At 53.7% G+C, this 19115-nt stretch overlaps 1 protein-coding gene across 1 annotated transcript in view, besides 1 other annotated feature; it reads right to left on the bottom strand.

Annotated features, from left to right (window-relative positions):
- Positions 1 to 19115, bottom strand: part of FCGBP (Fc gamma binding protein) — a gene marked incomplete in the record, with an annotated part of 71312 nt that overhangs the window by 18834 nt on the left and 33363 nt on the right. The window contains 9 exon segments of the mRNA NM_003890.3: positions 1149 to 1290; positions 3517 to 3716; positions 3835 to 4429; positions 7323 to 7915; positions 9487 to 10030; positions 10755 to 11371; positions 11766 to 12339; positions 13650 to 13987; positions 17400 to 17541. Of these exon segments, the coding sequence (NP_003881.2) occupies positions 1149 to 1290; positions 3517 to 3716; positions 3835 to 4429; positions 7323 to 7915; positions 9487 to 10030; positions 10755 to 11371; positions 11766 to 12339; positions 13650 to 13987; positions 17400 to 17541 (3745 nt within the window).
- Positions 3561 to 4062: an enhancer, noted in NCBI's record as "H3K4me1 hESC enhancer chr19:40376357-40376858 (GRCh37/hg19 assembly coordinates)". NCBI's record gives its function as "activates a minimal SCP1, AML or CMV promoter by ChIP-STARR-seq in naive H9 embryonic stem cells {active_cell/tissue: H9 hESC(naive)}" and the evidence as "EXISTENCE:reporter gene assay evidence [ECO:0000049][PMID:30033119]".

Below are 19115 nucleotides of genomic sequence, written 5' to 3' on the forward strand. Positions count from 1 at the left end.
TCCTGGGGTCAACTGATCCTCCTACCTCAGCATCCTAAATAGCTGGGACCACAGGCACGCATCACCACACCTGGCTAATTTTCAATTTTTTGTGGAGACAGGGGTCTCGCTATGTTGCCCAGGCTGGTCTCGAACTCCTGGCCTCAAGTGATCCTCCCAAAGTTCTGGGTGTGTGAGCCACGGCACCAGACCCTCTTTACCCTTAATAGTTAATCTCCTATTAATAAGTAAGTGATTCTTTAATTAAACTTTCCTCATTCAAATGGCCATACGCTTTCTGTCTCTCGACTAGATGCTGAGTGATATACCCCCCATTCCTGGGAGTCCCCATTATCCTGCTCATCAGCCCTGAGAGTCTTAGCCCCCACTCCTTGGTGCTGGAGCTCCCATTCTCTTATCCTTAGGGGGAGGAGAGTTCTCTGCTCTTCACCCTAAGAAATGAGCCCTGGGGGTGGCTGTGTCCCAGATTTAGTCTGGGGGATTCCCACATCAGAGACTATACCCCTAGAAATCCTGATCTTCCAGTTAAGAGGGGTCCCCATATCCAATGTCCTGCCTTGGTGAGGTCTCCGTGCGTGAGACTCAGAACTCTGCTCTCTGTCCCTGCCCCTGGGATCCCAATCTCTCCCCTGCCCTTTGGTGCTAGTGTCTGAACCCCAAGCCCGATCCCACACATCAGTGTTCCGCTCATGATGGAACCCTAGGCTGCTGCTCTTGTATTCTAAAGTCTTATAGGAACCTGACCTCTTCACTTACATAGTCTACGGCTGCTTTCATGCCACAGTGGCAGAGTGAGTAGCTGGAACGAGAACCTACAGCCTGCGAGCTTAAACATTTACCATGTAGCACATTAGAGCAAAGGCGCGCCTGTCCCTGCCTTATACCGAGGGTCTCTGACATCCACCCTGAGAAAACTATCTCTGAGGGTCCCCACAGCCTGGATTTTCCCTAAGGGTCCCTACCTCCCAAAGTAGGTGGCCCTGGCCCTGTGAAACCTGGTCTAGGGTTCCCCAGGTCTGCAACCTCAATCATTAGTCCTGTACACCTCCCGCCATGGACACCCCAGTTACACTACCCTCAGCCCCAGAGTCCCCATCCTCCATCCCTAGTCCCATCAGCCCCAGTCCCAGCCCAGCCCAGCCCAGCACCTTTGGTGACGCAGCTCAGGATGCCTCCGGAGGGCTGGCACACCTGCCCCGGCTTGCAGCTGTGTTCCTGGCACACCACGACTTTACCCACATGGCACGTGCACTGCTGCCGACAGTTGTCAATGAGGACTGTCTGCTCCGGCTGTGGGGAGAGAGGGAACGGCCATCAGGGACACCACGGGTGGGAGCCGACTCTCACATCTCTGGCGTTCTGGCACAGAGGGGTTTGGCAGACATCACAGACAAGGGACATCTCTCAGCAGGATGGCCCCTTGTCTGTGAAGCTGAGGCACAGCATGGCTTTGGGGCCATCATTCATTGGTTCATTCACTTTTCTTCATTTACTCATTCATTCCAAAATATCCACTCAACGTCTGCTGTAGGAGAAATGGTGTGACACAGTAACTAAGGGCAGATCGCCTGGGCTTGAAGCCCGTTTCTGCTGTTTCCAAAGTGTGTGACTCTGGGCAGTTACTTCACCTCTTTATGGCTCAGTTTCATGATCTGCAGATTGCAGATGATAGTAGCGCCTGCCTTTGGAAATATAACTGAGTTATATTCAGATAATAACCAAGTTATATTCAGATAATAACCAAGTTATATTCAGACATGTAAAATTTAGATAAAATGAAAAGGGTAGGCCGGGCGCGGTGGCACATGCTTGTAATCCCAGCACTTTGGGAAGCCGAGGCGGGTGGATCACGAGGTCAGAAGATTGAGACCATCCTGGCTAACACGGTGAAACCCCGTCTCTACTAAAAATACAAAAAATTAGTCGGGCGTGGTGGCGGGCGCCTATAGTCCCAGCTACTCGGGAGGCTGAGGCAGGAGAATGGTGTGAACTCGGGAGGCGGAGCTTGCAGTGAGGCAAAACTGCGCCACTGCACTCCAGCCTGAGTGACAGAGCGAGACCCCATCTCAAGGAAAAACAAAAACAAAAACAGAAAAGGGTTTCCTTTAAAACATTCAGATAGGAGAGATACGTGGGGTAGACATCAAACAAGATCGGGAGAATATGGCTTATTTTTGAAGCTAAGTGATGGGTAAGTACATGGACAGTCATTCCACTATTCTCTTAATTTTTGCATGTTTGAACGTTTTCAGAATAAAAAGTTTTTAGATATGTAATGCATATATAAAAATATGCACACATAGCACTTAAAACGGTACCAGATACATAGTAAGCACTATCTACACATTTTCTGTTATTATTAATATTATTTATGTGAGGAGAACAACAGAGAGAGGGTTCCACCCCTAGGAGAGCTCACAGTCCCCAAGGGAGATGGACATTAGACAAACACATGCTCCAGTCAAAGAAAAAGGACCTACGGGGACAGAGTGGGAGAGGGAAGTAGAGGGTGTTAGCAGCTGGTATAACACATGGAAATCTTGTCTTTGTGGTCAGAAAGGCTCCCTTCGTCCAGACCTGGAAGGCAAAGCCACAACTTGACCTGGGGAGTCAGGGGAGGGTTTAAAGCTTCAGAGCCCGTGGTCATATTTAGAAAGATCTTTACCACTGCCACGTGGAGGGTGGACCAGAGGGAGCAGAGGTAGGAGCTGGGAGGGACCCAGGTAGGAGAGGACCAGCTGGACCAAGGGAGGGCCATGGGGACGGGGAAAGGAGTGGGTACAAGAGACACTGAAGAGACTGAGTGGACTAGCTGTGGTGGCTCCCGCCTGTAATGCTCGCACTTTGGGAGGCCAAGGCAGGAGGATCACTTGAAGTCAGGAGTTCGAGAGCAGCCTGGCCAATATGGCAAAACTCCACCTCTACCAAAATACAAAAAAATTAACCGTGTGTGGTGGCACGTGCCTGTACTCCTAGCTACTCGGGAGGCCGAGACAAGAGAATTGCTTCAACCTGGGATGCTGAGGTTGCAGTGAGCTTGAACCCGAGAGGCGGAGGTTGCACTCCAGCCTGGGCAACAGAGCAAGACTATATCTTTAAAAAAAAAAAAAAAAGAGGCTCAGTGGGTCGGGCATGGTGGCTCATGCCATTAATCCCAGCACTTTGGGTGGCCAAGGCGGGACGATGGCTTGAGGCCTGGAGTTCACGACCAGCCTGAGCAACATAGTGAGACGCCCCCATCTCTATGTGTCCACAGGAAAATTAAAAATTCGCTGGGCTTGGTGGTGCGCACCTATAGTCCCAGGTACTTGGGAGGTGAGGTGAAGGATTGCTTGAGCCAAGGAATTTGGGGCTGCAGTGAACTATGATGGTACCACTGCACTCCAGCCTGGGTGACAAGAGTGAGACCCTGACTCTAAAAGAAATAAATAAGAGGCTAAGTAGACAGGCCGTGGGGCTGATGAACAGTGGGAGGGGTGAGACCCCATATTCTGCCCCAGATGACTAGGTTCCTACCTCATAGTAGACACCATTGTGGTAGCAGCCACATTGCTGGATGGGCACGCAGGCTTGGCCGTTGTAGAGGAAGCCGGAGTCACACTGGCAGCCCTCAGCACACCCATCTGGGCACTGCAGAGGGGCACTGAGAGCCGAGCAGCCCAGGGAGCAGGTGTCCGCACAGAGCTCGTAGTGACTGTTCTGAGGGCATTCCATGGCTGCAAGGAGGGGGTGCCGATCAGAGCCCTGGGGAGGGAGGGGCTGCAAAGCCCAGGGTCTACCCCTTCTGTGCCTCAAGCTCTCCCCTCCCTGCCCCTCCGGCTCTCCCTCACTCACGACAGAAAGTTTCATTCCTCCAGGGCTCCACGTGGCCTCCAGCCGCCTGGCAAGCACTCACGTAGGCATGGATGTTGCTGCAGAGAATGCTCAGGTTCCCACCACCCAGGCAGAGATCAAAGATGCAATCTTTCAAGGGACCCTGGGGATCCACCAGCTTGTGGCAGGAGGACAGTGGCCCTGTGGGGCTGGAGAGGAGCCCACAGAACTCCTCCTTCTGATACTTCTTCTCCAGCTCGGGAGGACACTTGTCGCTGGGGATACAGCCCGCGCTCCCCGGCGGGCAGGTGGGCGGCGGCAGGCAGGGAGAGTCGGGCACCACCTCCTCCCAGGAGTTGCCGAACTCATTGGCGTTGCCTGCCTGCGAGCCATTGGGCTTCTGGAAGTCATCCTTGGGGTCGCCGTTGTAGTTCCCACACAGGCCACACATCAGCTGGTAGTAGTTTCCAGGGACGGTGACCCGCACATAGTACACAAGGTCGTAGGCCACACGCAGGCCGAAGTCGGTCTCAATCACAACATCTGAACCATGCTGGGAGGCACGGATCTGGCCGTTGGCCAGCACCACGGGCAGCTTCATGTCCACACCGTTCACCTGGGAGGGGAAGAGAGGCAGGCCACGCTTCAGAAAGTATACTTTGAGTGAGGGTGGGACCCTAGTTCAAGCCCATGCCTGATGCTGATCTTTGTGACCTCACCTCTTAGGCCCTCAGTTTCCTATTTATTAAATGGATATAATAACAGGGCCTGATAGTAGATTGAATGGTGGTCCCCAAAAGACATATTCACACAGAATCCCATAGCGTGAGCTTACTCGGAATAAAGTTCTTTGCAGATGTAATCAGGGTAATAATCTCAACATGAGATTATCCTGGATTAAATTGGGCCTTAAATCCAATGACTAGTATCCTTATAAGAGCCAGAAAGAAAAAGGCAAAGAGACACACAGAAAAGGCCACATGAAGATGAAGGCAGGGATTAGAATGGTGTTGTCACAAGCCCAGAGAACCTGGAGTCTGCAGAGCTGGAAAGGGAAAGGAAGATCCCCCAACCAGTGTCTTTGGAGGGGGTGCAGCCCTGCCCACACCTTGATGTTGAACTTCTGGCACCCAGGACTGTGGAACATACATTTCTAGTGTTTTAAGCCACCAAGCTCGTGGTAATTTGTTATGGCAGCCATGGGAAACGAATACAGGTCTCGATGAAGTAACAAGCCTCCAGCTATCCTTTGTTTACCGCTTGCTGCAGCCATTAATAAGCAATGATCGCCCCCGGAGCCACTTGCCCGAGTTCAAACAGTTTCCCCCTTACCCTCTTTGTGACCTTGGGCAAGTGAGTCACCTCTCCCTGTTTCTGTTTCCTCATCTATCAAGTGGGAATAAGGCGTTTGCCCCATGGAACTGTTGTCAGGATCACATAAATTAGTATCTGTAAAGTGCTGAGAAACGTGGCTGGCATAGCATGCATGCTTCAGGAGCATTTGCTGTTATTAGCAGCTATGAGTGGAAGTTTTTCTTCTGAAGAGTAAACAGAACCACAGGTTTTTGCTTTAAAGCATCAGCGAGTGGAAAGTTAGGCTAAATTCTTGGGGAAATGAACTTAAACCTATGAGCTGAGGACCAGTGGTTTCAGTTAAAGATTTACTAGGCTCCAACAAAGCCTGGTAAATCCACCCCTGGACAGGGCACAGTGGCTCATGTCTATAATCCCAGCACTTTGAGAGGCCAAGGCGGGAAGATCACTTGAGCCCAGGAGTTCAAGGTCAGCCTAAGCAATATATCGAGATCCTGTCTCTACAAAATAAAAAAGAAAACAAATTAACTGGGCATGGTGGTGCATGCCTGTACTCCCAGCCACTCAGGAGGCTGAAGTGGTAGGATTGCTTGAGAGCAGGAGTTTGAGGCTGCAGTGAGCTAGGATCACACCACTGCACTCCAGCCTTGGTGATAGAGCAAGACCCTGTCTCTAAAAAATAAATAAATACATCAACCCCTGATTAACATGCTTTCTTACCCTTCCTTATCACAGACAGTGCACACCGGATTCTTTTGGAAATGTGAAGAATCAGAGGAGAAGGCAGGAGAAAGACATGCTCCTGGCTGAGTCTCCTAAAAAGATGGTCAACTGCCACACTTCCCAAGCAGGGCTGGGCGGTGGGTAAGGGCAACTGACTTAGCCTTGCCTCAGTTTCCTCAGCTGTAAACTGCGGGGTAATAAGAGCTCCCACATCTGTAGGGAAGCTGGGGGTTTCAGTAAGAAGCAACTAACAAGAACATCAACAACTCCTGTGTATTTAGGCGCTGTATGTCAGGGGCTATTCTAGGAGCTTGGGAAACATTAGGGAATATATTCAATTAAGTCCTGCATGTCGGCCGGGCACAGTGGCTCATGCCTCTATTCCCAGCACTTTGGGAGGCTGAGGCCGGCAGATCACTGAGCTCAGGAGTTGGAGACCAGACTGGCCAACATGGTGAAACCCGTCCCCACTAAAAATACAAAAATTTCCTGGGCATAGTGTTGCACACCTGTAATCCCAGCTACTCTGGAGGCTGAGGCAGGAGAATCACTTGAACCAGGGAGGCAGAGGTTGCAGTGAGCCGAGATCGCGCCACTGCACTCCAGCCTGGGTGACAAAGCCAGACTCTGTGCCAAAAAAAAAAAAAAAAAAGTCACGCCTGTCCAGTTCGCCAGATTAAGTCAGTAATTGATCAGCACCTTCGCCAATACTGCCACTAGAAAAACAGCTGCGTGTCTGTTTCAGTGGGATCTCAGGGGAAACCCCTCCACTGTAACTCAGATGCCAGTCTCCACATGAGACCAAATCTTCTCAGTAAGAAAAGCACTGCAGAGCAGCACGGGGTTCAAGCTCCACCTTTGCTGGGGGACTATGGGCCAGTGATGGGCCATCCCACTCTGAAAAATAAAGCAAGTCATAGTGCCTGCAGTCCCTGTTGCAAGCATACAGACACCATGGACGTGAAGTGCCTGGCAGCCAAAAGGTGTGCAGTCAGCTGTATAGAAACTATAGCTGCTGTTGTTGTTGTTAAGGCGGTGAGAGTGTCACCCACAGATTGTCCTCTGTCCATGAAGCTTCTCAAACTCGGACTTTCTCAACCTCTGATGGCACCACGTCCTGCCAATAAGTGGCAGACTAGGGAGGTGAGTAGGGCAGAATCCAGGACTGAGGTGGAGAGAGGATGGAGTGGGAGGGAGGAGAGGGTGGGAGAAATTTGGAGAGAAAAGTCAATGCATGGAGGTAAAGAGAGGGTGGAGACTGAGGGACAGAGATGGGGGAGCAGCTCCCAAGTCCCTGATGACACCTCCCTCATTGGCTTCCCACTCGGTTCTGACTGGCATCTTCTGTCCTCAGAGACCCCAGGCCTCGCACATGCACTCTCATCTCTTGTGCCCCCAACTCCTGGGCTGAGCGCTGCCTGTGCCCCACCTACCCACAGGCCCCTCGCCCCCTGCTCCCCATCTGCTCTCACCGTGACCTTCCACTGTCTCTGCTCCAGCCGCAGGGTGAAGTTTGCCACCTGGACCGTGATCACCCTGGTCACACTGACTCGCCCATTACCCCAGGCCACGTTCTCCTGCAGGACGGCAAACCGATGCAGGCCAGGCCGGGTGCCGCAGGTCTGAGCCAGCACATACACGCAGGTGCCCATGAAGTCGAAGCGGTGGCCATCGAAGGTGGTGTAGTGGGGATCTCCCGACGCCTGGCAGGTGGTAGAGCCCACGGCCACGCAGCCCAAGCTGCCACCGGATGGCCGGCAGGTCTCATGCGGGCCGCAGCTGGAGGGCTCACAGGACACCTCACCGCCCTCCCGGCAGCGGCAAAGGGAATCACACCCAGGGCCAGGGTAGAAGGTCTGGCCCAGTGGGTAGTAGCGGTCATCGTGGAGGCAGCCACACTGGCCCACAGGTACACACGTGTCACCACTGAGCACGAAGCCAGCATCGCAGACACAGCCTTCACGGCAGGCCGACTCACAGCCCTCGGGTGCCGACAGGCTCGGGCAGCTCCCAGGACAGGAGTCACCGCAGAGCTCGTAGTGGCTGTGGGCAGGGCACTGGAAGGCTGTGGGGACAAGGTGGGCATCAGCCAGGTAGGTGTTTGAGTCGCAGTCTTGGGAGGCCCTGAGTGGGAAAACTGCTCAGGCCAACTTGGGCGTCTCTGGGCATGCACATGTGATCCAGGACATCTAACTGGGGGACTCAGCGTGGGACCTGGAATGGGAGGGGACATGCCCAGGTCTCTCTGACCAAATATTTCTGAAGATCAAATGACTCTGCTTGGCTGATATTTTTTTTTTTTTTTTTTTTGAGACAGGCTCTCACTCTATCTCACCCAGGCTGGAGTGCAGAGGCGCAATCACAGCTCGCTGCAGCCTCCACCTAAACCTCAAGCAATCCTCTGGCCTCAGCCTCCCGATTAGCTGGGACTACAGGAGTAAGCCACCACATCTGGCTGATTTATTATTATTTTCTGTAGAGATGGGGTCTCACTATGTAAGCCAGGCTTACCTGGGTGAAATGGATCACTTATATCTATTCGGGGTATGCAGGATCAGAACTGACTATGGGCATCTCAGCGTGTGAATGTGACTGGGGTGTGGGGCCACATGTATCTCAGGGTATGGCTCTGCCTGAGGGCACCCAGCTGTGGGTGTCTGACATGCAGCATCTCCCAGAGTCCTTCTGACATGGTCTGCCTAAGGCTGTGCCTGGGTGAAGTTGGCAGGATACCTGTGACCAGGAGACCTGCCTGAAGGGAACCGCCTAGGACTATCTAACTATGCATCTGTGTGGATCTGCCCAAGGCTATGCCAGGATCCTGTTTCTTTCTGAGTGTATCTGACCAGTCAGTATAAAATTTAAGCAGATATCACTGAAGGTATGCGACTAATTCCATGTGACTAGGTGTATTTCAGTGTGTGCAACAGACCTGGGCCCTCTGACCAGCTGAAACTCACTAGGTCTTCCTAACAAGGGGTACTTTGCTATGTGACAGAGGCAGGGTCAGCCATCCCAATCTACATGCCTTGGATACCTGAAAGCATGGATCACCAATCCCTAAGAGTGTCCTGGACCCCAGGTTTCTTTTCTTTCTTTTTTTTTTTCTGTTGTTTGTTGTTTGTTTGTTTTTTGTTTTGGAGATGGAATCTCTGTCACCCAGGCTGAAGGGCAGTGGCACGATCTCGGCTCACTGCAACCTCTGCCTCCTGGGTTCAAGTGATTCTCCTGCCTCAGCCTCCTGAGTAGCTGAGATTACAGGTGCCCGCCACCACGCCCGGATAATTTTTGTAGTTTTAGTAGAGGTGGGGTTTCACCATGTTGGCCGGGCTAGTCTCGACCTCCTGACCTCAGGTGATCCGCCCGCCTCGGCCTCCCAAATTGCTGGGATTACAGGCGTGAGCCACCGCGCCCACACTCTGACTAGGTGTTTCTAACTGACTCTCTCTCACTGCAGTACCTGACTTGGGGCATTTCAGTGTGTCAGTGCCAAGGTGTTTCCTGACAGTAGATACCGAGCTCGGGAAGGAAAGTGGCCCCTGAGCCCCATGGAGGAGGAAGGGGCTGCTGTCCTACAGTCCTGGGAAGGGCAGGGAGAGACCCAACCATGTGGACCATGCATGGAGCAGTACTCACGACAGAAGTCCGGCCGCCTCCACTCGCGGAGCTGGGCCCCAGCGGCCTGACAGGCTGCCACGTAGGTGGCCACTGCAGGACAGAGGCCTCCAGGATGGCCCTGAACTTGGCAGGCGTCCAGCAAGCAGCCCTGGAAGTACTGCGCGGGCGGCACAAGGCCGTGGCAGGGCGCCAGCGGGCCGTCGGTGGCGGAGATCACGCCGCAGGCGTCCGGGCCGCCGAAGGACTCTTGCTGCTCTGGGGTGCACGGCGACGGGCATGGCTTGGACACACATTCCCCGCAGCCCTGGGCGCCGCCCACCTGCCATCCGGCGGGCTTCCCGCCCACCGCCTTCAGGTCGTCTGCGGGGTCCTGGTTGTAGTTCCCGCATAAGCCACAGAGAGAGCCCGCGTACGCCGCCGGCACGCGCAGGCGCACGAAGCTGTCCCCATCGAAAGCCAGCGAGAGCCCTGAGGTTGTGGTCACCACCACGTCGGCGCCGCTCAGGTGTGCGTGCAGGAGCGAGTCCAGCTGGAAGGGCAGAGTGACGAACACGCCGTCCACCTGTGGGCAGTGGGGGAGCGGTGAACGGAGCAAACACGGGTTTGAATCCTGGCCCCACTACCTACTAGCTGTGGGACCCAGAGCATGTCACCTCCCGCTGAAAATAATAATGAGCATCTATAGGCCGGGCCTGGTGGCAAAGCCTGCAATCCCAGGACTTTGGAAGGCCGAGATGGGAGGATCGCTTGACGCCAGAAGTTCAGATCAGCCTGGGCAACATAGTGAGACCCCCATCTCTACAAAAAAATGAAAAATTAGCCAGCGTGGTGGCGTGTGCCTTTAGTCACAGATACTTGGGAGGTGGAGGCCAAGGCGGGAGGATCGATTCAGCCCACGAGTTCCAGGCTGCAGTGAGCCCTAATCCTGTCACTGCGCTCCAGCCTGGGCAACAGAGTCAGGCTAAGAAAAGAAAGAAAGAAAGAAAGAAAAGCAAGAAAGAAAAAAAGAAAAGAAAAACAAAGAGCCTCTACTGGCTCATGTCACTGACTCCTTATCCTTCTCGAAAACAGGTACTTTTCCTAGACCAGTTTACAGAGGAATACACTAGGCTCACAGAGGAAGAAGCTGCTGTGCCAAGCCATCAGGCTCCTAGGCGTACACTCTGACCCTTCCATCATGCCCCAGCTAAGCTGTGAAAGGGGCCCAGGGGAATGGTGAAGCCCTTACCATCTCAGGCAACCCCAGAGCTGGCACTTGCTCCTGTCTGGCCCACAGCCCTCCTCACCTGTAGCTTCCGGGGCCAGCGGGCACTCAGTGTCAGGCTGTGGTTGTAGATTTGCAGGGTGACACTGCGGGTGTAGCTGACAGCCTGGCTGCCCCGGTGCTCATTGGCTACAGTGACAGTGAAGTTCTCAGCCCCCAAGGGTGGTCCGTGGCAGGGTGCACTCAGCAGGTACTCGCAGGTGCCTTGGAAATCGAATCGGTGCCCATCCAGAGTGACGTAATGGGGGTCACCCCACGCCTGGCACTCAGCTGTGCTGACGGGCTGGCAGCCGTGCTGGCCGGATGGCAGGAGGCCACACACTTCACCCAGCCCACAGCTGGCAGGTGTGCAGACCAGCGAGCCACCCCCAGGCCCGCAGCGACACCACTGGGAGCAGGTGCCATCAGCCCAAAACTCACTGCCCGCCTCGTGGTAGGTGCCATTGGCCCAGCAGCCGCAGCCGTTGTTGAGGGGAACACAGCGGTCAGCACTTAACACGAAACCCGCGTCGCACTGGCAGCCCTCCACACAGGGGCCCTCACATACGGCTGGCGTCGTAAGGGGTGCAGGGGACGGACAGCTGGCCGGGCAGGGTGGGCCACAGACCTCATAGTGGCTGTTTTCTGGGCAGGTGATCTCTGTGGGCAGATGAAGGAGCAGGAAGGAGAGAAACAGAAAGAAGGGTGTTAGGGGTGGGGTCCCAGAACAGGGTGGGAGGAGACAGAGAGAGACACTAGGGAGCAGACAGAGAAAGGGGGAGACAGAAAACAAGACACAGAGAGAGGACACAGAGAAAGAAATGGGAGAGGGCGAGACACCAGGAGACCCAAGCAGAAACTGAGGGAGCTAGAGAATGAGAAACAGACAGATAGAGACAAGCAAAGCGAGGCCCAGAGACGAGCACCAAGAAACAGAGAGACAAACAGAGAAAAAAGAAAACAAAGAGACCCAGAAGGACCAGAGTGAAACCAAACCAGCCCCGAAGAGATGGGACCCCGCCCCCAGCCCCGCCTCTGCTCCCCCAACACTCACCACAGCCAACCTGTGCCCGCCAGTCTTCGATGACAACCCCAGCAGCCTGGCAGGCGGCCACATAGGAAGCCAGAGCCTTGCAAAGAATGTCACGGTCCCCACCACCCATGCAGACGTCCAGAACACAGCCCTTGAAGAAGCTCTCAGGTGGCACATGAGCATGGCAGGTGGTGAAAGGGCCCCCTGTGCCGGGGGCCAGGGGTCCGCAGAAGCCAGGGCCCTCGTACTGCTCCAACCGGTCCTCAGGGCACGTTGGGCAGGACCCCCGACATTCGTCCCAACACAGTGGGTCCCAGCCTGGGGCTCGCCAGCTGCCGCCCCAGATGGGTATGGAGGGAGCCAGTGTGCCATTAGGGAAGACCTGGTCATTGTTGGGGTTGCGGTCCATGTTACCGCAGAGCCCGCACACTGCGCCATGATAGCTGCTGGGCAGCGTCACGTCTACCCGCCAGTTCCAGTCATAGCTGACTTGCAGTCCAAAGTCAGCCACCAGCAGTGCCTTCGATGCACCCTGGGTCACTGAAATCCGCCCGTCGGCCACAGAGACAGGCAAGGCTGTGAGCACACCGTTCACCTGGGGGAAGGAGGGAAGGCAAACGGGTCACTGGAGGTTTTACGGCCCCAGCTCTGGCCCTCTGCCTCCCTCTCTCTCATCCCACCGGGGGCTGGGAGAGGCCAGGGCCTTCCCCCGAGAGTTGGATTGTCATCTGACACACTGTGGACAGTTGTTCTAGCCCAGGTCTTGGGGAACGAAACCTCACTTTACTTTTTCTAGATCTTCTCCCTTCATCTCTATCTCCCTCCCCTGTCTCTGTCTCTCTCTCTGTGTCTCTCTCCCTCTGTCTTCACCTAAGGCTATGCCTCTGGGTCTTCTCTCTCTCTGTCTCTGTCTCTCTCTCTCTCTTTCTGTCTCTCTGTCTCTGTCTCACCCTTTTCCCTTCCTCCCTACCTCCCTCATTCTTTGTGCATCTCTTCCACTCACTCACCATCATTTATTCAGTGCCTACTCTGCTGCATCCCTCAGTCTCTCCATGTGAGCTGCCATCAAGCTACATCTCCATTTCCTTGGGCAGAAAGGATAGCCCATTCCTCTCCCCCATCTCCCTATATTTCTTTTTCTTGATTACTTTTTTTATTTTTCAGACGGAGTCTCACTATGTCACCGAGGCTTGTGTGCAGTGTTGCAGTCTCGGCTCTTGTAACCTCTGCCTCCCAGGTTCAAGCAATTCTCCTGCCTCAGTGTCCTGAGTAGCTGAGAATTCAGGAGCATCACCACACCCAGCTAATTTTTGTATTTTTAGTAGAGACGGAATTTCACCATGTTAGCCAGGCTTGTCTCGAACTCCTGACCTCAGATGATCCATCGGCCTCGGTCTCCCAGAGTGCTGGGATTACAGGCGTGAGCCACCGGGCCCAGCCCAGTCTCCCTGTATTTCTCTCCATGTCCTGGTCTCTGGGCCTCTCACTTTTCCCTCACCGACACTCAAACGACTGTTCACCTGGACTAGACTCTGAGCTCAGCATGTGACATGCACGGCCTTGCTGTGGGGGAGGCCCTGATACGATGCCCACTTCACAGATGAGGAAACTGAGGCCTACCAAGTGAACTGCCCAGCATCACATAGCTCATAAGGAGGAGAGGCTGGATTGAAACCCAGGTCTATAAAAAAGGCAAATGCTGAGGTCCTATGTTAAAGCCCTTTGCCAGGGGCTAGGCTCATTTAATTCCCAGTAACAGGGTGATATTTTTGTTGCAATTATTCTCTTTGTTGACAGTTTGTTTCAGGCCCAGGTGAAGACAAAGAGCCTTGAGCTGCTAACTGTGGTCGTCAGGATCCCTCCTGCCCTCCCGGGGACCTCAGGGGACCATCCTGCCACACATACCCGGACTTTGCCGATCTCGTCCTTGTGGATGGAGATGTTGGTGCCGAGGGCAGCCACGGTGACGACTCTCACGTAGGACACAGCAGGGTTGCCCCGGTTCTGGTTCTTGGTGGTGACGGTGAAGGGTGTCAGGCCCTGGGTGCTGACCCCCGGGCAGCCAGTTGTTGCCAGCACATAGTTACAGGTGCCCTGGAAGTCAAACTTCCGGCCATCGAAGGAGTGGTAGTGTGGGTCGCCCCACAGCCAGCACGTGGCCTCATAGTTGGGCAGGCACACGCCCTGGCCACCCTGCTCCTTGCATGTCTCCTGTGGCCGGCATGTCACGCCGTGGCACGGGTCTGGGGACAGAAGAGGGAGGAGGACCTTGAGGGGCTGCCCATTGTAAAGCATGGCCGCTCCCTCCACATCTACCCAGTCTGTGCCAGGGATCTGAGGGTTACTGCAGGCAAGACCACATTACAGAGTCCTCATGTCTAGGACCCACTTCCTATAGTTTGCTTTTACATTTTCTTTTGTTTTGTTGTTTTTTTGAGATGGAGTCTTTCTCTGTCACCCAGGCTGGAGAGCAATGGTACAATCTCGGCTCACTGCAACCTCTGCCTCCTGGGCTCCAGTGATTCTCCTGACTCAGCCTCCTGAGTGGCTGGGATTATAGGTGCCCACCAGCATGCTTGGCTGATTTTTGTATTTTTAGTAGAGACAGGGTTTCACCATGTTGGCCAGGCTGGTCTCGGGCTCCTGACATCAAGTGATCAGCCAACCTTGGCCTCCCAGAGTGTTGGGATTACAGGCATGAGCCATCATGCCCAGCCTGCTATTTTCAAGACCAGCCCCTGGGAGTCCCACACAGCTGACACTGAGGCCCCATGGGGGACTGTGTCTAAGTCTCGGCTGTCAAAGGTCCCATACCTGAGACCTGGGCCCCAGAGGTCTGTACAGCCAAGACCCAGTACCTAGAGTTCCCCTACTTCTGAGACTGAGGCCCTGCCATTTGCTGTGTGAGACTGAGATCCTGGAGTCCACGCACCTAAGACCAAGGTAAAGACCAAGGCTCTGGGTCTGTGTTTAAGGTGCACTTTCCATGGTGCCCTTGCTTGAGATTTCACCCTGTTCTTGTATTTTAAGTTTTATAGGAACCTCACCGTCTTCACTTACATAGGCTACGGCTGCTTTCACACCACAGTGGCAGAGTGAGTAGTTGTGATCCAGAAGGTATAGCCTGCAAGCTTAAACACTTACCATCTAGCCCTTTAGAGAAAAGGTGCACTTGACCCCAGTTGAGATCTGTGCCCCAGGGGTCCTTGTGTCTGCGATGCCAGCCCTGAGAGCATCCATGTCTGAGATCCCAGCCCCAGGGTTCTCTGTGTTCAAGACCTGGGCCCCAGGCCAGGTGTGGTGGCTCAGGCCTGTAATCCCAGCACTTTAAGAGGCTGAGGTGGGAGGATAGCTTGAGCCCTGGAGTTTGAGACTAGCCTGGGCAACATAGTAAGACCCCATTTCTACAGAAAGATTAATAAATTAGCCAGGCGTGGTGGTGTGTGCCTGTAGTCCCCCACTACTCGGGAGGCTGAGGCGGGAGGATTGTTTGAGCCCAGGAAATCGAGGCTGCAGTAAGCTACACTACACTCTAGCCTGGGCCACAGAGTGAGACCTTAGCTCAAAAAAAAAAAAAAGATCTAGGTCTCAGGGTCCCCCATGCCTGAGACCTCAGCCCCCTGGACATCTCCACATTTGATAGAAATTGGTCTCCAATTTCTCTAGGTCCTGGAGGCCTCTGTGCCCAAGACTAGGGCCCTGGGGTGATCTTCTGGCAAGAGCCCAGTGCCAGGGTCTCAGCAGGATTTGAAATGTTTGAGACCCTAACTAGCTAAGTCTCATGGGCTGGGCTCCCTCAGTGCAAGACTCCATCCCTGAGGGTTGCTGTATTCAAGACAGTAGCCTTGATCGTGTCTCACTGCTGAGGCCCTGTCCTGGGGGGTTTCTGTGTCCGAGACCCTGTTCGTACAGTTACTACATCTGTGACCCCAGCTTGCGGAACCCCTGTGTGGGAGAGGCCAGCCTTCAAACGTCTCCTTCCTCCTGTGTCCATTATCTATGTACCGCCTCTCAGCTTCAAATACACCCACGGAGTTAAGCTTTGTCAACAGAGGGCGCCGGAGAGTCACTGCAGGAGGGACGGTCTCCTGGTCTGGCTTCTAGCCAGTTTGGTCCTTCCAGCTCTGGCCAGGGTGCGGGGCCACATTCAGCGAGTGCCACTGGCCGCAGCTGGCTTCCCAGTGAGGGGTTCCCTTCTTGCCAAGTCCAGCCTGCAGAAACCTCTGTGCCACCCAGTGGGCTACAGCTGCAGTGAGACTGGACTCAGCCTTGGGGCTGATTCTCCCCTCCTTGAAGAGTAGGGGCCAATTTCTCCCTTCCATGAGGCTTTTACCTTAGCCCTAGAGTGGCGGCTACTTCCTGTGTGTGCTTTGGTGGTATTCTTTAGTGCTCTCTTTACCGTTTCTTATTTCTGTTTATTTGTTTGTTTGTAAAGAGACAAGGTCTTGCTGTCTTGCCCACGCTAGAGAGCAGTGGTGCAATCATATAGCTCACTGCAGCCTCGAAATCCTGGGGTCAACTGATCCTCCTACCTCAGCATCCTAAATAGCTGGGACCACGGGCACGCATCACCACACCTGGCTAATTTTCAATTTTTTGTGGAGACAGGGGTCTCGCTATGTTGCCCAGGCTGGTCTCAAACTCCTGGCCTCAAGTGATCCTCCCAAAGTTCTGGGTGTGTGAGCCACGGCACCAGACCCTCTTTACCCTTAATAGTTAATCTCCTATTAATAAGTAAGTGATTCTTTAATTAAACTTTCCTCATTCAAATGGCCATACGCTTTCTGTCTCTCGACTAGATGCTGAGTGATATACCCCCCATTTCTGGGAGTCCCCATTATCCTGCTCATCAGCCCTGAGAGTCTTAGCCCCCACTCCTTGGTGCTGGAGCTCCCATTCTCTTATCCTTAGGGGGAGGAGAGTTCTCTGCTCTTCACCCTAAGAAATGAGCCCTGGGGGTGGCTGTGTCCCAGATTTAGTCTGGGGGATTCCCACATCAGAGACTATACCCCCAGAAATCCTGATCTTCCAGTTAAGAGGGGTCCCCATATCCAATGTCCTGCCTTGGTGAGGTCTCCGTGCGTGAGACTCAGAACTCTGCTCTCTGTCCCTGCCCCTGGGATCCCAGTCTCTCCCCTGCCCTTTGGTGCTAGTGTCTGAACCCCAAGTCCAATCCCACACATCAGTGTTCCGCTCATGATGGCCCCCTAGGCTGCTGCTCTTGTATTCTAAAGTCTTATAGGAGCCTGACCTCTTCACTTACATAGTCTACGGCTGCTTTCATGCCACAGTGGCAGAGTGAGTAGCTGGAACGAGAACCTACAGCCTGCGAGCTTAAACATTTACCATGTAGCACATTAGAGCAAAGGCGCGCCTGTCCCTGCCTTATACCGAGGGTCTCTGACATCCACCCTGAGAAAACTATCTCTGAGGGTCCCCACAGCCTGGATTTTCCCTAAGGGTCCCTACCTCCCAAAGTAGGTGGCCCTGGCCCTGTGAAACCTGGTCTAGGGTTCCCCAGGTCTGCAACCTCAATCATTAGTCCTGTACACCTCCCGCCATGGACACCCCAGTTACACTACCCTCAGCCCCAGAGTCCCCATCCTCCATCCCTAGTCCCATCAGCCCCAGTCCCAGCCCAGCCCAGCCCAGCACCTTTGGTGACGCAGCTCAGGATGCCTCCGGAGGGCTGGCACACCTGCCCCGGCTTGCAGCTGTGTTCCTGGCACACCACGACTTTACCCGCATGGCACGTGCACTGCTGCCGACAGTTGTCAATGAGGACTGTCTGCTCCGGCTGTGGGGAGAGAGGGAACGGCCATCAGGGACACCACGGGTGGGAGCCGACTCTCACATCTCTGGCGTTCTGGCACAGAGGGGTTTGGCAGACATCACAGACAAGGGACATCTCTCAGCAGGATGGCCCCTTGTCTGTGAAGCTGAGGCACAGCATGGCTTTGGGGCCATCATTCATTGGTTCATTCACTTTTCTTCATTTACTCATTCATTCCAAAATATCCACTCAACGTCTGCTGTAGGAGAAATGGTGTGACACAGTAACTAAGGGCAGATCGCCTGGGCTTGAAGCCCGTTTCTGCTGTTTCCAAAGTGTGTGACTCTGGGCAGTTACTTCACCTCTTTATGGCTCAGTTTCATGATCTGCAGATTGCAGATGATAGTAGCGCCTGCCTTTGGAAATATAACTGAGTTATATTCAGATAATAACCAAGTTATATTCAGATAATAACCAAGTTATATTCAGACATGTAAAATTCAGATAAAATGAAAAGGGTAGGCCGGGCGCGGTGGCACATGCTTGTAATCCCAGCACTTTGGGAAGCCGAGGCGGGTGGATCACGAGGTCAGAAGATTGAGACCATCCTGGCTAACACGGTGAAACCCCGTCTCTACTAAAAATACAAAAAATTAGTCGGGCGTGGTGGCGGGCGCCTATAGTCCCAGCTACTCGGGAGGCTGAGGCAGGAGAATGGTGTGAACTCGGGAGGCGGAGCTTGCAGTGAGGCAAAACTGCGCCACTGCACTCCAGCCTGAGTGACAGAGCGAGACCCCATCTCAAGGAAAAAAAAAAACAAAAACAGAAAAGGGTTTCCTTTAAAACATTCAGATAGGAGAGATACGTGGGGTAGACATCAAACAAGATCGGGAGAATATGGCTTATTTTTGAAGCTAAGTGATGGGTAAGTACATGGACAGTCATTCCACTATTCTCTTAATTTTTGCATGTTTGAACGTTTTCAGAATAAAAAGTTTTTAGATATGTAATGCATATATAAAAATATGCACACATAGCACTTAAAACGGTACCAGATACATAGTAAGCACTATCTACACATTTTCTGTTATTATTAATATTATTTATGTGAGGAGAACAACAGAGAGAGGGTTCCACCCCTAGGAGAGCTCACAGTCCCCAAGGGAGATGGACATTAGACAAACACATGCTCCAGTCAAAGAAAAAGGACCTACGGGGACAGAGTGGGAGAGGGAAGTAGAGGGTGTTAGCAGCTGGTATAACACATGGAAATCTTGTCTTTGTGGTCAGAAAGGCTCCCTTCGTCCAGACCTGGAAGGCAAAGCCACAACTTGACCTGGGGAGTCAGGGGAGGGTTTAAAGCTTCAGAGCCCGTGGTCATATTTAGAAAGATCTTTACCACTGCCACGTGGAGGGTGGACCAGAGGGAGCAGAGGTAGGAGCTGGGAGGGACCCAGGTAGGAGAGGACCAGCTGGACCAAGGGAGGGCCATGGGGACAGGGAAAGGAGTGGGTACAAGAGACACTGAAGAGACTGAGTGGACTAGCTGTGGTGGCTCCCGCCTGTAATGCTCGCACTTTGGGAGGCCAAGGCAGGAG

This window comes from Homo sapiens, chromosome 19, assembly GCF_000001405.40.
Source record: "Homo sapiens chromosome 19, GRCh38.p14 Primary Assembly".
NCBI classification, from domain to species: Eukaryota; Metazoa; Chordata; class Mammalia; order Primates; family Hominidae; genus Homo; species Homo sapiens.